At 51.9% G+C, this 12,983-nt stretch overlaps 1 protein-coding gene across 2 annotated transcripts in view, besides 8 other annotated features; it reads left to right on the top strand.

Annotated features, from left to right (window-relative positions):
* Nucleotides 47–866: an enhancer, noted in NCBI's record as "H3K27ac-H3K4me1 hESC enhancer chr17:1366499-1367318 (GRCh37/hg19 assembly coordinates)". NCBI's record gives its function as "activates a minimal SCP1, AML or CMV promoter by ChIP-STARR-seq in naive H9 embryonic stem cells {active_cell/tissue: H9 hESC(naive)}" and the evidence as "EXISTENCE:reporter gene assay evidence [ECO:0000049][PMID:30033119]".
* Nucleotides 996–1,075: an enhancer, noted in NCBI's record as "active region_11449". NCBI's record gives its function as "activates an Ori minimal core promoter by ATAC-STARR-seq in GM12878 lymphoblastoid cells {active_cell/tissue: GM12878}" and the evidence as "EXISTENCE:reporter gene assay evidence [ECO:0000049][PMID:35858748]".
* Nucleotides 7,531–8,030: a silencer, noted in NCBI's record as "silent region_7953". NCBI's record gives its function as "represses an Ori minimal core promoter by ATAC-STARR-seq in GM12878 lymphoblastoid cells {active_cell/tissue: GM12878}" and the evidence as "EXISTENCE:reporter gene assay evidence [ECO:0000049][PMID:35858748]".
* Nucleotides 7,531–8,670: a biological region, named in NCBI's record as "H3K27ac-H3K4me1 hESC enhancer GRCh37_chr17:1358695-1359680".
* Nucleotides 7,685–8,670: an enhancer, noted in NCBI's record as "H3K27ac-H3K4me1 hESC enhancer chr17:1358695-1359680 (GRCh37/hg19 assembly coordinates)". NCBI's record gives its function as "activates a minimal SCP1, AML or CMV promoter by ChIP-STARR-seq in naive H9 embryonic stem cells {active_cell/tissue: H9 hESC(naive)}" and the evidence as "EXISTENCE:reporter gene assay evidence [ECO:0000049][PMID:30033119]".
* Nucleotides 7,839–12,983, top strand: part of CRK (CRK proto-oncogene, adaptor protein) — a 35,540-nt gene continuing 30,395 nt past the window's right edge. For both annotated transcript variants that reach the window (NM_005206.5, NM_016823.4), the window contains exon 1: nt 7,839–8,194. In NM_005206.5, the coding sequence (NP_005197.3) occupies nt 7,954–8,194 (241 nt within the window). In that variant the 5' untranslated portion in view covers nt 7,839–7,953. The remainder of the gene's footprint in view (nt 8,195–12,983) is intronic.
* Nucleotides 8,121–8,180: a silencer, noted in NCBI's record as "silent region_7952". NCBI's record gives its function as "represses an Ori minimal core promoter by ATAC-STARR-seq in GM12878 lymphoblastoid cells {active_cell/tissue: GM12878}" and the evidence as "EXISTENCE:reporter gene assay evidence [ECO:0000049][PMID:35858748]".
* Nucleotides 8,291–8,420: a silencer, noted in NCBI's record as "silent region_7951". NCBI's record gives its function as "represses an Ori minimal core promoter by ATAC-STARR-seq in GM12878 lymphoblastoid cells {active_cell/tissue: GM12878}" and the evidence as "EXISTENCE:reporter gene assay evidence [ECO:0000049][PMID:35858748]".
* Nucleotides 9,805–10,306: an enhancer, noted in NCBI's record as "H3K4me1 hESC enhancer chr17:1357059-1357560 (GRCh37/hg19 assembly coordinates)". NCBI's record gives its function as "activates a minimal SCP1, AML or CMV promoter by ChIP-STARR-seq in primed H9 embryonic stem cells {active_cell/tissue: H9 hESC(primed)}" and the evidence as "EXISTENCE:reporter gene assay evidence [ECO:0000049][PMID:30033119]".

Here is a 12,983-nt window from a genome sequence, read left to right as displayed (position 1 = left end):
GTGGTGTGATCTTGGCTCACTGCGACCTCCACCTCCCAGGTTCAAGTGATTCTCCTGCCTCAACCTCCTGAGTAGCTGGGACTACATCATGCGCCACCACGCCTGGCTAATTTTTGTATTTTTAGTAGAGATTGGGTTTCACCGTGTTGGCCAGGCTGGTCTCGAACTCCTGACCTTGGGTGATGCCTCCCACCTCGGCCTCCCAAAGTGCTGGGGTGACAGGCATGAGCCACCGTGCCCGGACACCTCTCGTTCAAATTCTGTTGCAAGTGACAAACCCAGTCCAAACTGGCTTGGGCCAAAAAAAGGATATTTATAAGCATTAGCACCTTAGTCCCAGAGTAAGGCTACTTCCAGGTGCTCACACACTGTCAGGAATGTGTCTGGAACCATCGCCTGGCTGAACCTTCCTCTACAGTGGCTTCTTTCCCAAGCAGATTCTCACCTGGAGGTGGGGTGGCAGCAACAGCCACCCACAGCTCCAGGCTTTCATTCTGTCAGTTCAGCATTGGAGGCAGAAAGAGGAAGTGCCTCTTTCCCAAAATGTGGAAGTCTCAGAGCGGATTCTCAGTGCAGCACCTTGAATGAGGCATCCACCCTGACCCAATCACTGTAGCCAGGGAGAGGAATAGATTCTGATTGGTCAGGCCTGGATCGAGTGCCTGCCCCTGGAGACAGAGCTACCAGGGGCACACCGGAACCCACACCGGAAACCACAGAACCAAGAGTGGGAGGAGATGACTCGCCAAAATGAAATCAGTGTCGCCTCCACAAGAAAGAGAATGAGTGGGCCGGGCGCGGTGGCTCACGCCTGTAGTCCCAGCACTTTGGGAGGCTGAGGCAGGTGGATCACCTGAGGTCAGGAGTTCAAGACCAGCCTGGCCAACACGGTGAAACCCCATCTCTACTAAAAATACAAAAATTAGCCAGGCAGGGTGGCGTGTGCCTGTAATCCCAGCTACTCGGAAGGCTGAGGCAGGAGAATCCCTTGAACCCCGGAGGCGAAGGTTACAGTGAGCCGAGATTATGCCACTGCCCTCCAGCCTGGGCGACAGAGCAAAAAAAAAAAAGAAAGTGCTTCAAGCTGCAACCACGGAGCTCGTCGTCAGCAGATGGCTGTGAGTTTTTCCAAGAGGGCGGCGCGCTGTGGGTGGAGGGAACGGTGCATGTGGAGCTTAGAGGCAAGAACAGGTTTGGCCCGGGGTCAGGCCAGCTGCCTGAGGAGCTTAGATTTGAAACCTGGGGCAGAGATTCTCAAACAAGGAGATACCACGCAACGTGGTGTTTTGGGCTTGACACGATCCTGTACGCACACCTACATTTTGACACCTCTCTCCATGATTAATTTTCCCGAGGAAAAATGAAACCACAATTATTCGTCCACTTTATCAGCAGTAACGATGCCTCCAAGAAGCTGATAGATAAGATAGGTATTAAGTGCAATTACATGCTTTATAACTGTGTCGACATTCCTTTCTCTAGCAAACCAGAATGCACGCGAGAATGACATCACAGACATTACCCAGACGTCCGCCTTTTTTTGTTTGTTTGTTTGTTTTTTTGTGACAGAGTCTGTCGCCCAGGCTGGAGTGCAATGGCACGATCTCAAAGTGGTCACTCCAAAGTGGTGGGATGACAGGCGTGAGCCACCGTGCCCAGCCTACTCTGACCTTTTGAGAGGTAACCAGGACTGGTTTGTGCCCTCAGCTCACATCCTGAGGGAAGTCCAGTGACCTCCAGGAAATATCTGCCAATTATGGGAAAAGCTAATGCTGGCTCTAGACAAGAGCTTCCGCCAGTTCTCCATTCATCCTTCCTTCATTCAACCCGGCGCTTTGGGAGGCCGAGGTGGGTGGATCATTTGAGGTCAGGAGTTTGAGACCAACCTGGCCTCCTGAGGCAGGAGAATTGCTTGAACCCGGGAGGTGGAGGTGGCAGTGAGCTGAGATGGAACCACTGTACTCCAGCCTGGGCAACAGGTTTTTGTTTGTTTGTTTGTGTGTTTTGAGACGAGTCTCACTGCATCGCCCAGGCTGGAGTGCAGTGGCGCGATCTCGGCTCACTGCAACCTCTGCCTCCTAGGTTCAAGCAATTCTGCCTCAGCCTCCTGAGTAGCTGTGACTACAGGTGCGTGCCACCACGCCCAGCTAATTTTTGTATTTTTAGTAGAGACGGAGTTTCACCATATTGGACAGGCTGGTCTCGAACTCCTGACCTCATGATCCGCCTGCCTTGGCCTCCCAAAGTGCTGGGATTCCAGGCATGAGCCACCGCGCCCGGCCCATTCAACCAGTATGAATTGAAGGAATGCTTGCAATGTGCCAGGATCTCAGTGAGGCTCTTGGGATATAGCAGGAACAACAAAAAGACCCAAATCCCTGCTCTCATGGAGCTTACACTCTAGCAAAGAATAGACAATACGTAAGGAAAATACCTAACATATTAGAAAGAGATAAGTGCTAGGAAAATAAGCAAAGCAGACAAGGGGAGAGGGAGTGTTGGTGTGTAGTTTGCAGTCAGGCAAGGCCTCACAGAGGAGATGACATCAGAGCGGGGACCTGAACGAGGAGAGGAAGTGACGGCTAGGATCTGGAGCAAGAGTGGTCAAGGCAGAGGGAACAGCAAGGCAAAGCCCTCGAGGAACGTGGAGTCTCCTGAGAGGAAAGGGAAGAAGGCTGGGGGCAGAGAAGAGTGGCAGAGGAAATGGGTACCTTCTCCTTGATTCTGCAAGAAGGCCTTTGTGTGAGCAGCTTCCCTAAAAGATTGCAGCGATGAGAGGAGTTTGCACGCAGCAAAGCAAATAACCCATTCTCGATGGTCCCAGAATCACATTGCCAGTGGGGACATCTTACTGACCTTTCCTGGAAGGCGCAGCATCCTGCCTGTGCTCCTCGCTCCGTCTCTACCCAAGACTCTCCTTGGAGTTCCCCTCACATGGTGCCCCAGAGTTCTCTTTTATTTCTTTATTTAGAGATGGAGTTTCACTCTTCTCACCCAGGCTGGAGTGCAGTGGCTCGATCTCGGCTCACTGCAACCTCTGCCTCCCGGGTTCCAGCAATTCTCCTGCCTCAGCCTCTTAAGTAGCTGGGATTGCACGCGCCCGCCACCACGCCTGGCTAATTTTTTGTGTTTTTAGTAGAGACGGGGTTTCACCATGTTAGCCAGGATGGTCTATTCTTCTTTAAAAAATTCTTTTTTGGCCGGGTGCGGTGGCTCACACCTGTAATCCCAGCACCTTGAGAGGCCGAGGGAGGCGGATCACCTGAGGTCGGGAGTTTGAGATCAGCCTGACCAACATGGAGAAACCCTGTCTCTACTAAAAATACAAAAAATTATCCAGGCATGGTGATACATGCCTGTAATTCCAGCTACTCGGGAGGCTGGGGCAGGAGAATCACTTGAACCCGGGAGATGGAGGTTGCGGTGAGCTGAGATCGTGCCATTGCACGGCAGCCTGGGCAACAGGAATGAAACTCCGTCTCAAAAAAAAAAAATTATTTTTCTTGTAATTTCCGTATGCCCTAGGGAGGGATCTCAGAGGGACTGCTTTGGAACAGGCAGTCTCTGGGTAAGGTCCAGAGCTCACAGACCAGCCAGAATTCACACTGGGACGGCTGCTTCTGCTGGCTCACGGTGCCAGGCTGTCACTAAGCCAGGGTCACGATGAGTCACCTGCAGCAGGAAAGGTGCCCTTGTGCCTCCCAGTCCCCCACCCCCCACTTCCCCAGAGCAGGCCCAAGGGTGTGTAAGGTGAGTCCAGCAGGACTGTGTTATTCCTTAGACCATAATCCACAGCTTACTGCTTTTTTAAAAATGTAGATTTCTGCCAACCCTTCCTCCCAATTCCTATCTCAGAAAATTGAGGGTAGAGCAGAGTGACCATAGCTGTCTCTCCTTCCAGGATTTGAACCCTAGCTCCTCACTCTGCGACCATGTCTCTCTGGACACATTACTTAAACTCTCTGAGCTTCAGTTTTCTCTTTTGTAAGATGGGGATACTTGTCAAATAAGGTTGTTGAGAGGATTAAATGAGATGATCCATACAAAGGCAGTCAGCACTGTGCCTGGCAGATGGTCATCTCTGAATCAATGTTAGCGGTCCTGAATGCTTCTGGAGCACCTCATAGACTAGCTGCTTGGCCTTTGAGGACATACACAGAACTGCAAATGAAAAATTACAGTAAAATGGGTAAGAGCTGTCATGGGAATAATTTGGACATACTGCTGTTGATGAAGAGAGGGAGTGATGGGATGGTTAAGAAAGGGAAGACATTTGGGCCGGGTGCGGTGGCTCACGCCTGTCATCCCAGCACTTTGGGAGGCCAAGGCAGGCAGATCACAAAGTCAGGAGATCAAGACCATCCTGGCTAACACGGTGAAACCCTGTCTCTACTAAAAAAAAAAAAAAAAAAATTATCCAGGCGCGGTGGCGGGCGCCTGTAGTCCCAGCTACTCGGGAGGCTGAGGCAGGAGAATGGCGTGAACCCGGGAGGCGGAGCTTGCAGTGAGCCAGGATCGCGCCACTGCACTCCAGCCTGGGCGACAGAGCGAGACTCCGACTCAAAAACAAAAAAAAAAAAAAAAAAAAAAAGAAAAAGAAAAAAAGAAAGGGAAGACATTTGAATTTGAGACTCCAAAGTGGGTAGAAGAACATTCCAGGAAAAAGAAACCCAGCATTCACATAGGAGCAGTTAAACGAGACTGTGGACCAGCACAGTGGTACCTCTATAATCCCAGCTACTGAGGAGGCTGAGGAAGGAGGACCCCTGGAGCCCAGGAATTAGAGTCCAACCTGGGCACCATAAGAAGACCTCATCTCTTTTTTTTTTTTTCTGAGACGGAGTCTCACTCTATCGCCCAGGCTGGAGTGCAGTGGCTCGATCTCAGCTCACTGCAAGCTCCGCCTCCTGGGTTCACCCATTCTCCTGCCTCAGCCTCCTGAGTAGCTGGGACTACAGGCGCCCGCCACCACGCCCAGCTAATTTTTTTTGTATTTTTAGTAGAGACCGCGTTTCACCGTGTTAGCCAGGATGGTGTCGATCTCCTGACCTCGTGATCCACCTGCCTCAGCCTCCCAAAATGCTGGGATTACTGGCGTGAGCCACAGCGACCAGCTGACCTCATCTCTTAAAAAAATGATGATTATTATTTTAGAGAGGTGGTCTCACTCTGTCACCTGGGCTGAAGTGCTGTGGCATGATCATAGCTCAATACAGCCTCGAACTCCTGGGCTCAAGTGATCCACCCGCCTCAGGTTCCTGAGTAGCTGGGACTATAGCTGGATGTGCCACCACGCTCGGCTATAAAGAAAAACAATGTTTTTTGAGATGGAGTCTCGCTCTGTCGCCCAGGCTGGAGTGCAATGGCGCGATCTCACCTCACTGCAACCTCTGCCTCCCGGGTTCAAGTGATTCTCCTGTCTCAGCCTCCCGAGTAGCTGGGACTTCAGGCACCTGCCAGCACATCCGGCTAATTTTTTGTATTTTCAGTAGAGATGAGGTTTTGCCATGTTGGCCAGGCTGGTCTCGAACTCCTGACCTCCTGGCCTCCCAAAGTGCTGGGATTACAAGCATGAGCCACTATGCCTGGCCAGAAAAAATTTTTAATTAAAAAAAAATGAGCCTGGCCAATATGGTGAAACCCCGTCTCTACTGAAAATACAAACATTAGCCGGGCGTGGTGGCGGGTGCCTGTAGTCCCAGCTACTCGGGAGGCTGAGGCAGGGATAATCGCTTGAATCCGGGAGGCGGAGATTGCAGTGAGCCGAGATCACGCCACTGCACTCCAGCCTGGGCAACAGAGCAGGAATCCATCTAAAAAAAAAAAAAAGAGAGAGAGAGACTGTGGCCCAATTTTATGCTCTGAGCTAAACTGGGAGTTTGAACACCTGAAGACTGTTAAAAGTTTTACACAAGGTAGCAACACATTCAGATTTGTATACATATATATATATTTTTGAGACAGGATCTCCCTCTGTCACCCAGGCTGGAGTGCAGTGGCATGATTTCGGCTCACTGCAACCTCCGCCTCCTGGGTTCAAGCGATTCTCCTGCCTCATCCTCCTGAGTAGCTGGGATTACAGGCGCCCGCTAACACACCTGGCTAATTTTTGTATTTTTAGTAGAGACCGGGCTTCACCATATTGGTCAGCCCGGTCTCGAACTTCTGACCTCAGGTGATCTGCCAGCCACAGCCTCCCAAAGTGTTGGGATTACAGGCATGAGCCACGGCGCCCGGCCAGATCTGTATTTTAGAAAACTCAGTGGGAGTTGTTTGCAGTGCGATTAGGGGCAGCCAGACGAAAGAGCACCAGCGAGCACGACACTCGTAGGAACACAGTCCAGAGGCAATCATGAGGGCAGTGAGAGTAGGAGATGCCCCTGGCTACAATTTAGTGTTTAGAATTATCTGGGCAGGTGACCCCAAAGCCTCAAAAGAGAAGAGAACTCTGTACTTCACGTGGCTTGGTACACTCTGCTCCCTTTGCTTTGAATGTCCTTCCCCGCCGAGTGCGGTGGCTCACGCCTGTAATCCCAGCACTTTGGGAGGCCGAGGTGGGCGGATCTCAAGGTCAGGAGATCGAGACCAGCCTGGCTAACACGGTGAAACCCCATCTCTACTAAAAATACAAAAAGTTAGCCGGGCGTGGTGGCGGGTGCCTGCAGTCCCAGCAACTCGGGAGGCTGAGGCAGGAGAATGGCGTGAACCCGGGAGGCGGAGCTTGCAGTGAGCCGAGATCACGCCCAGGCACTCCAGCCTGGGCGACAGAGCGAGACTCCATCTCAAAAAAAAAAAAAAAAAAAAAAGAAAGAATGTCCTTCCCCATTTGTCATTCAGCAGTCAACACATGCTGCCTCCTCTGGGAAGCCCTCCTGGATTACTCCATAGACTGGCTGTGGGGGCTCTGCTCTGTGTTCATGTCCGTTTCCCATGATAGCGTTTGTCAGCATTTGTCATCCTTTTGTCATCCAGTTTCCTGGTTCCTCTCACTGGTCTGTGAGTTCGAGGAGTGCAGGGCCCAGCCATGATAACCTTTGCACCCGCAGTGCAAGTGGAGTGTCAACAACAATGTCCTAGGTGAATCAATGAAAATGAGAACGTCAGCTGGTCTGTGGAGAAGCTAGAGGAACGAGCAGAAACGGACCGACGTGGCCGGGCGCGATGTTTCTCGCCTGTAATCCCAGCACTTTGGGAGGCCGAGGCGGGCGGATCACCTGAGGTCAGGAGATTGAGACCATCCTGGCCGACATGGTGAAACCCCCGTCTCTACTAAAAATACAAAAAACAGCCGGGCGCGGTGGCTCACGCCTGTAGTCTCAGCTACTCGGGAGGCTGACGCAGGAGAATCGCTTGAACCCGGGAGCAGTGAGCCGAGATCGCGCCATTGCACTCCAGCGTGGGCGACAGAACAAGACTCCGTCTCAAAAAGAAAAAGAAAAAAGAAACAGACTGATATCGCAGGAAGCCTGGCCGAGAACTCAGGCCCCAGGGCCACACGCATCTTTTCTCCTCCAATTCTGTCTGGGAGTCGCTGCCTAGAAGTCCCAGGTCGTCCAGGAACCGGGGCCCAGACGAGAAGCACCGCTCTGTCCGCAGCGCAGGCGCGCGTCTCTGCGGGAGGCTGCGAGGCCCCGCCCCTCGGGCCCTAGACCCCGCCTCCCATCCCCCGCAGCCCGGGCCCGGGAAGGGCGGCACCGCCCATGAATCCGCATGCGCAGTGCGCGCGCGAGGGCGCCTTGCCCTTCTCCCAATGGCGGGCCGCGGGCCCCTTCCCGGCAGCCTCCCTCGGGCAGGGAGCGCGTCATTTCCGGAGGGGGAGGCCCGCGGCTGCCGCCGCCATTTCGGGCGCTGCTGTGAAGCTGAAACCGGAGCCGGTCCGCTGGGCGGCGGGCGCCGGGGGCCGGAGGGGCGCGCGCGGCGGCGGCACCCCAGCGTTTAGGCGCGGAGGCAGCCATGGCGGGCAACTTCGACTCGGAGGAGCGGAGTAGCTGGTACTGGGGGAGGTTGAGTCGGCAGGAGGCGGTGGCGCTGCTGCAGGGCCAGCGGCACGGGGTGTTCCTGGTGCGGGACTCGAGCACCAGCCCCGGGGACTATGTGCTCAGCGTCTCAGAGAACTCGCGCGTCTCCCACTACATCATCAACAGCAGCGGCCCGCGCCCGCCGGTGCCACCGTCGCCCGCCCAGCCTCCGCCCGGTGAGGGACTGACGGGACGGCGGGCCCTGGGCGGGGTGAGGGCCGCGGAACTCCCAGCCTGGCTGGCTGGTCCTCGAGAGCGGACCCTCGGGGGTCGTGGGCAGAGGGCTGGGTGACCGTGGCAGGGGCCCGCCGGCTGCTCGGGCTCGCTCTCACCCGGGGAGCAGGAGTGTGGGGGAGGAGGAGCCGCGGACCGAGGCCCCGGGGTGTGCCTGGGGAGGGCAGCCGCGGGGAAGGGGAACTGCTTCGGCCCCAGGGTGGGGCTGGCTCCCGGGCCAGGCGCAAGGGTAGGGCAGGGCAAGGCAACGTGGGGACAAAGAGCTGAGGGAGATGTTGGCACTGCGGGGGCATCACTTGGCAGCGGCGCCCAGAATGAATCCGATAATCCTACAAGTGGCTTTTAGGCTGGAAACGTTTCCTGCCGTGTTGGAGAGCCGGGTTTGGCCGTGCTCCCCTGGTGGCCTTTGGTAGGAAGTCACCACATACTGGCCGGGAGGGATGGAGACACCCTCAGGAAACCGGTCAATTTTTTCCTTTCTTGGGCATTTTTCCAAAATCTTTGTACCGTTCTCTTCCCCCGTGGAGGACGAAGGTGGTGAACTAAGTGCTAGAAGAAATAGTGGTAGCAGAAAGCCTTCAGTGACCAGCCCAACCCAGTTTAAGGCGATGCCTGGCTATGTGCAAGAGATCTAAGCGTCCAGAAGACTGTCCGCCGTTAGAGAGTTCTGGTTTTCAAAGTGTTTAGTGGAGGAAAGACATTTTATTCCACAAAATAAACCAGAAGTGAGGCAATGGAAACAGACCCTTCCCTGTAAGTGACTGGAACTTCATTTTCCTTGGACTTAAACATTGTCGGTGTGTACTTCAGGGCGTCACCTTGCTCAGTAAGATGGGGCTGCGGGCTGAGTCTTCCTGGATATTGGGAACAGACTCTACGCCAAGAACATAAATTACCTGCGCTGGGTTTTCCTTGCCAGGGAGGGATCCCTGAGATTGACTGTCTTACCGATGCCGTTGGAGTTGATTTGGGACTGTTTTAAGGGAATAGATAGATGCCCTTAGTACTGGAGATTTGTGAGGTACAAAGTAATTCTGGGGTTCTCATTGTATGTGTACCTGTGTAACAGCATCAGGAGTCCTCGTGCCTTCACGCTGTTGCCAAGTCGAAGCAGTTTCTTCTTGGCCAGCTGAGAATGGGTTCAGACTAGTCTCATATGAATCAGGAAGCTCTTGAGCCGTCCTTTGTAGACTTGCCCTTGTAGAATAGTTCTAATTTAGATTTACTCGCTCCGGCCAGAAATAGAGAATTGGATAGGCAGTCTCTTTGTTAACACACACCAATTTTTATTTTACTCTTTTCTAAGACGGAGTCTTGCTCTGTCACCCACGCTGGAGCACAGTGGCGCAATCTCGGCTCACGGCGATTCTCCTGTCTCAGTCTCCCAAGTAGCTGGGATTACAGGCACCCGCCACCATAACCAGCTAATGTTGTATTTTTCGTAGAGACGAAGTTTCACCAGGTTGGCCAGGCTGGTCTCGAACTCCTGACCTCAGGTGATCCACCAGCCTCGGCCTCCCAAAGTGCTGGGATTACAGGCAAGAGCCACCGCGCCTGGCCAACACATACTAATTTTTTTAAAATTTTTCTTATTTATTTCTTACTTATTTATTTATTTTGAGACGGAGTCTCTCTGTCGCCCAGGCTGGAGTGCAGTGGCGCGATCTTGGCTCACTGCAACCTTTGCCTTTTGGGTTCAAGTGATTCTGCCTCAGCCTCCTGAGTAGCTGGGATTGCTGGTGTGCATCACCACCACGCCCAGCTAATTTTTTGTATTTTTAGTAGAGATGGGGTTTTACCAGGTTGGCCAGATTGGTCTTGAACTCCTGATCTCAGGTGATCCACTCGCCTTTGCCTCCCAAAATGCTGGGATTACAGGCGTGGGCCACCGCACCCAGCTTTGTTTGTTTGAGGCGGAGTTTCGCTTTTGTTGCCCAGGCTGGAGTGCGATGGTGCAATCTCAGCTCACTGCAATCTCTACCTCCCCGGGTTCAAAGGATTCTCCTGTCTCAGCCTCCCTAGTAGCTGGGATTACAGGCACACTCCACTACGCCTGGCTAGTTTTTGTATTTTTAGTAGGGTTGGGGTTTCGCCAAGTTGACCAGGCTGGTCTCGAACTCCTGACCTCAGGTGATCTGCCCACCTCAGACTCCCAAAGTGTTGGGATTACAGGCGTGAGCCACCACACCCAGTCTAACACAACCATTTTTTAAAAATGAGTATGGGGTCTATAAGCTCACAAATTATCCTAGATCTTTCTCATTGTGGCCTGTTTAATAGTATTATGAGATGGGAATATTGATGTACCTGTGTTGGCCCTGAACCAGATATATTCTACTTTGATGCCACCTGCATAGTATCTGGGGTTTTGCATTATATGTCGTCACATGATGGCAAACTGTCATTGAAACTCACTTTTCAGCCTTTTGTTTGTGTTTGTTGGTTGCCAAAGTTGAAAATGGCAGCAGGCAGGTTTGTTAGTTTGATATTTTTTCATATCTTAGCATAACGATTTTATGTCTCAACACTTACCGTGATAATCGAGCACCACCTTTTCAAAACAGATAAGAACTCAGTTCCTTGGCTGAGGAAAGACGGTGAAGATTGCCAAAGTTTATGGATGGGGTGTGGAAAATTCACGAGTATTGTGATAATTCTTTCTGCCATGTTGTACCCCATTTTCTACGATTCAGTTGCTGTCTTTTTCTCTCTTCTGAGACAGAGCCTCTGTCACCCAAGCTGGAGTGCAGTGGCATGAACACAGCTCACTGCAGCCTTGACCTCCTGGGCTCAAGCCATCCTCCCACTTCATCCTCCTGAGTAGCTGGGACTCCAGGCGTATCCACCATGCCTGGTTAACTGTTGAAAATTTTTTTGTAGAGATGAGGGGTCTCACGGTATTGTCCAGGCTGGTCTCAAATTCCTGATCTCAATAGACTTCATGCTTCAGGCTCCCAAAGTTTTGGAACTGCAGGTGTGAGCCACTGTGCCTGGTCAGTTGCTGTCTTTTTTTTTTTTTTTCTTTTTGAGACCGAGTTTTTACTCTTGTCTCCCACGCTGGAGCGCAATGGCGCGATATTGGCCCACTGCAACCTCTGCCTTCTAGGTTTAATCAATTCTCCTGCCTCAGCCTCCTGAGTAGCTGGAATTACAGGCGCCCACCACCATGCTCAGCTAATTTTTGTATTTTTTTAGTAGAGATGGGGTTTCACCATGTTGGCCAGGCTGGTCTCGAACTGCTGAACTCTGATCATCCACCCACCTCGGCCTCCCAAAGTGCTGGGATTACAGACGTGAGCCACCAGCGCCTGGCCTGTCTGTATAACCTCAGAATTACTTTGTACCTCACAAATCTCAAGTACTAAGTACTGAATCTTTGTTCTCCCCCTCACCAAGTCCTTTTGAAGTCACACAGAGAAATTTCTTGAATTTTTTAGAGAGGCGTATAGAATATTAATAACTAATGTTTATTGACTGGTTATTCTGTGCCAGGTACTTTGAGTACTTTATGTACCTTATTTCACTTACTGTCTAGGACAATCTAGTGAGATAAGTAATATGATCTCCATTTATTAAAATATTCCCATTTTATACAGGAGGAAACACTCATAGATTCAGTAACTTGCTTAAGGTCACACAACTAATAAATGACTTTCAGAAGTTGAACCTAGGCATTCTGACCTGAGAGCTGACCCTTTTACACTACACTCTCAAAGCCAGCGTTCTTTTGGCATCTCAGCAGTGCACATAGAGGTCCGTATCCTCAATATCCTCAATACTTTGCCTCTGCCCTGGAGTCTAAGACTTGGTGTTTTTTGTTTTGTTGTTTTTGGATGGAGTTTCGCTCTTGCCCCCCGGGCTGCTACAGTGCAGTGGTGCAGTCTCGGCTCACTGAAACCTCTGCTTCCCAGGTTCAAGTGATTCTCCTGCCTCAGCCTCCCGAGTAGCTGGGATTACAGGCATGTGCCACTGTGCCCAGCTAATTTTTTTTTTTGTATTTTTAGTAGACACGGGGTTTCACCATGTTGGCCAGGCTGGTCTCGAACTCCTGACCTCAGGTGATCCGCCCACCTCGGCCTTGTGTTTTTTGTTTTTTTTTCCCCCCACTATGTTGCCCAAACTGGAGTGCAGTGGCTGTTGACAGGCACAGTCATAGTGCACTACAGCCCTTAACTTTGGGGCAGGCAGCCCTTCTGACTCAGGCTGTGAGTAGCTGGGACTACAGGCACATACAGCCGCATCCAGCCCAGGTTTTTTAAAGACCAGAATTAAAGAATGGCAAGAAGAGGCCGGGCGCAGTGGCTCATGCCTGTAATTCCAGCACTTTGAGAGGCCAAGGAGGGTGGATCACTTGAGGTCAAGAGTTCGAGACCAGCCTGGCCAACATGGTGAAACCTTGTTTCTACTAAAAAATACAAAAATTAGCTGGGCGTGGTGGCGGACGCCTGTAATCCTAGCTGCTGGAGAGGCTAAGGCACGAGAATCGCTTGAACCCCGGAGGCAGAGGTTGCAGTGAGCTGAGATCGTGCCACTGGCTTTATTATTCAGACAATACACATCTGCTATCTAAAGTCAATGATGAAGAAGCTTTTTAAAATTGTTATTGCTTTTTTTTTTTTTTTTTTTGAGACAGTTTCTCGCTCTGTCACCGAGGCTGGAGTATAGTGGCACGACCTCGGCTCACTGCAAGCTCCGCCCCGTGGGGTTCATGCCATTCTCCTACCTCAGCCT

Source organism: Homo sapiens, chromosome 17 (genome assembly GCF_000001405.40).
Source record: "Homo sapiens chromosome 17, GRCh38.p14 Primary Assembly".
NCBI classification, from domain to species: Eukaryota; Metazoa; Chordata; class Mammalia; order Primates; family Hominidae; genus Homo; species Homo sapiens.
The sequence above is the reverse complement of the archived record's forward strand: the minus strand, read 5'-3'. Positions and strand labels throughout refer to the sequence as shown.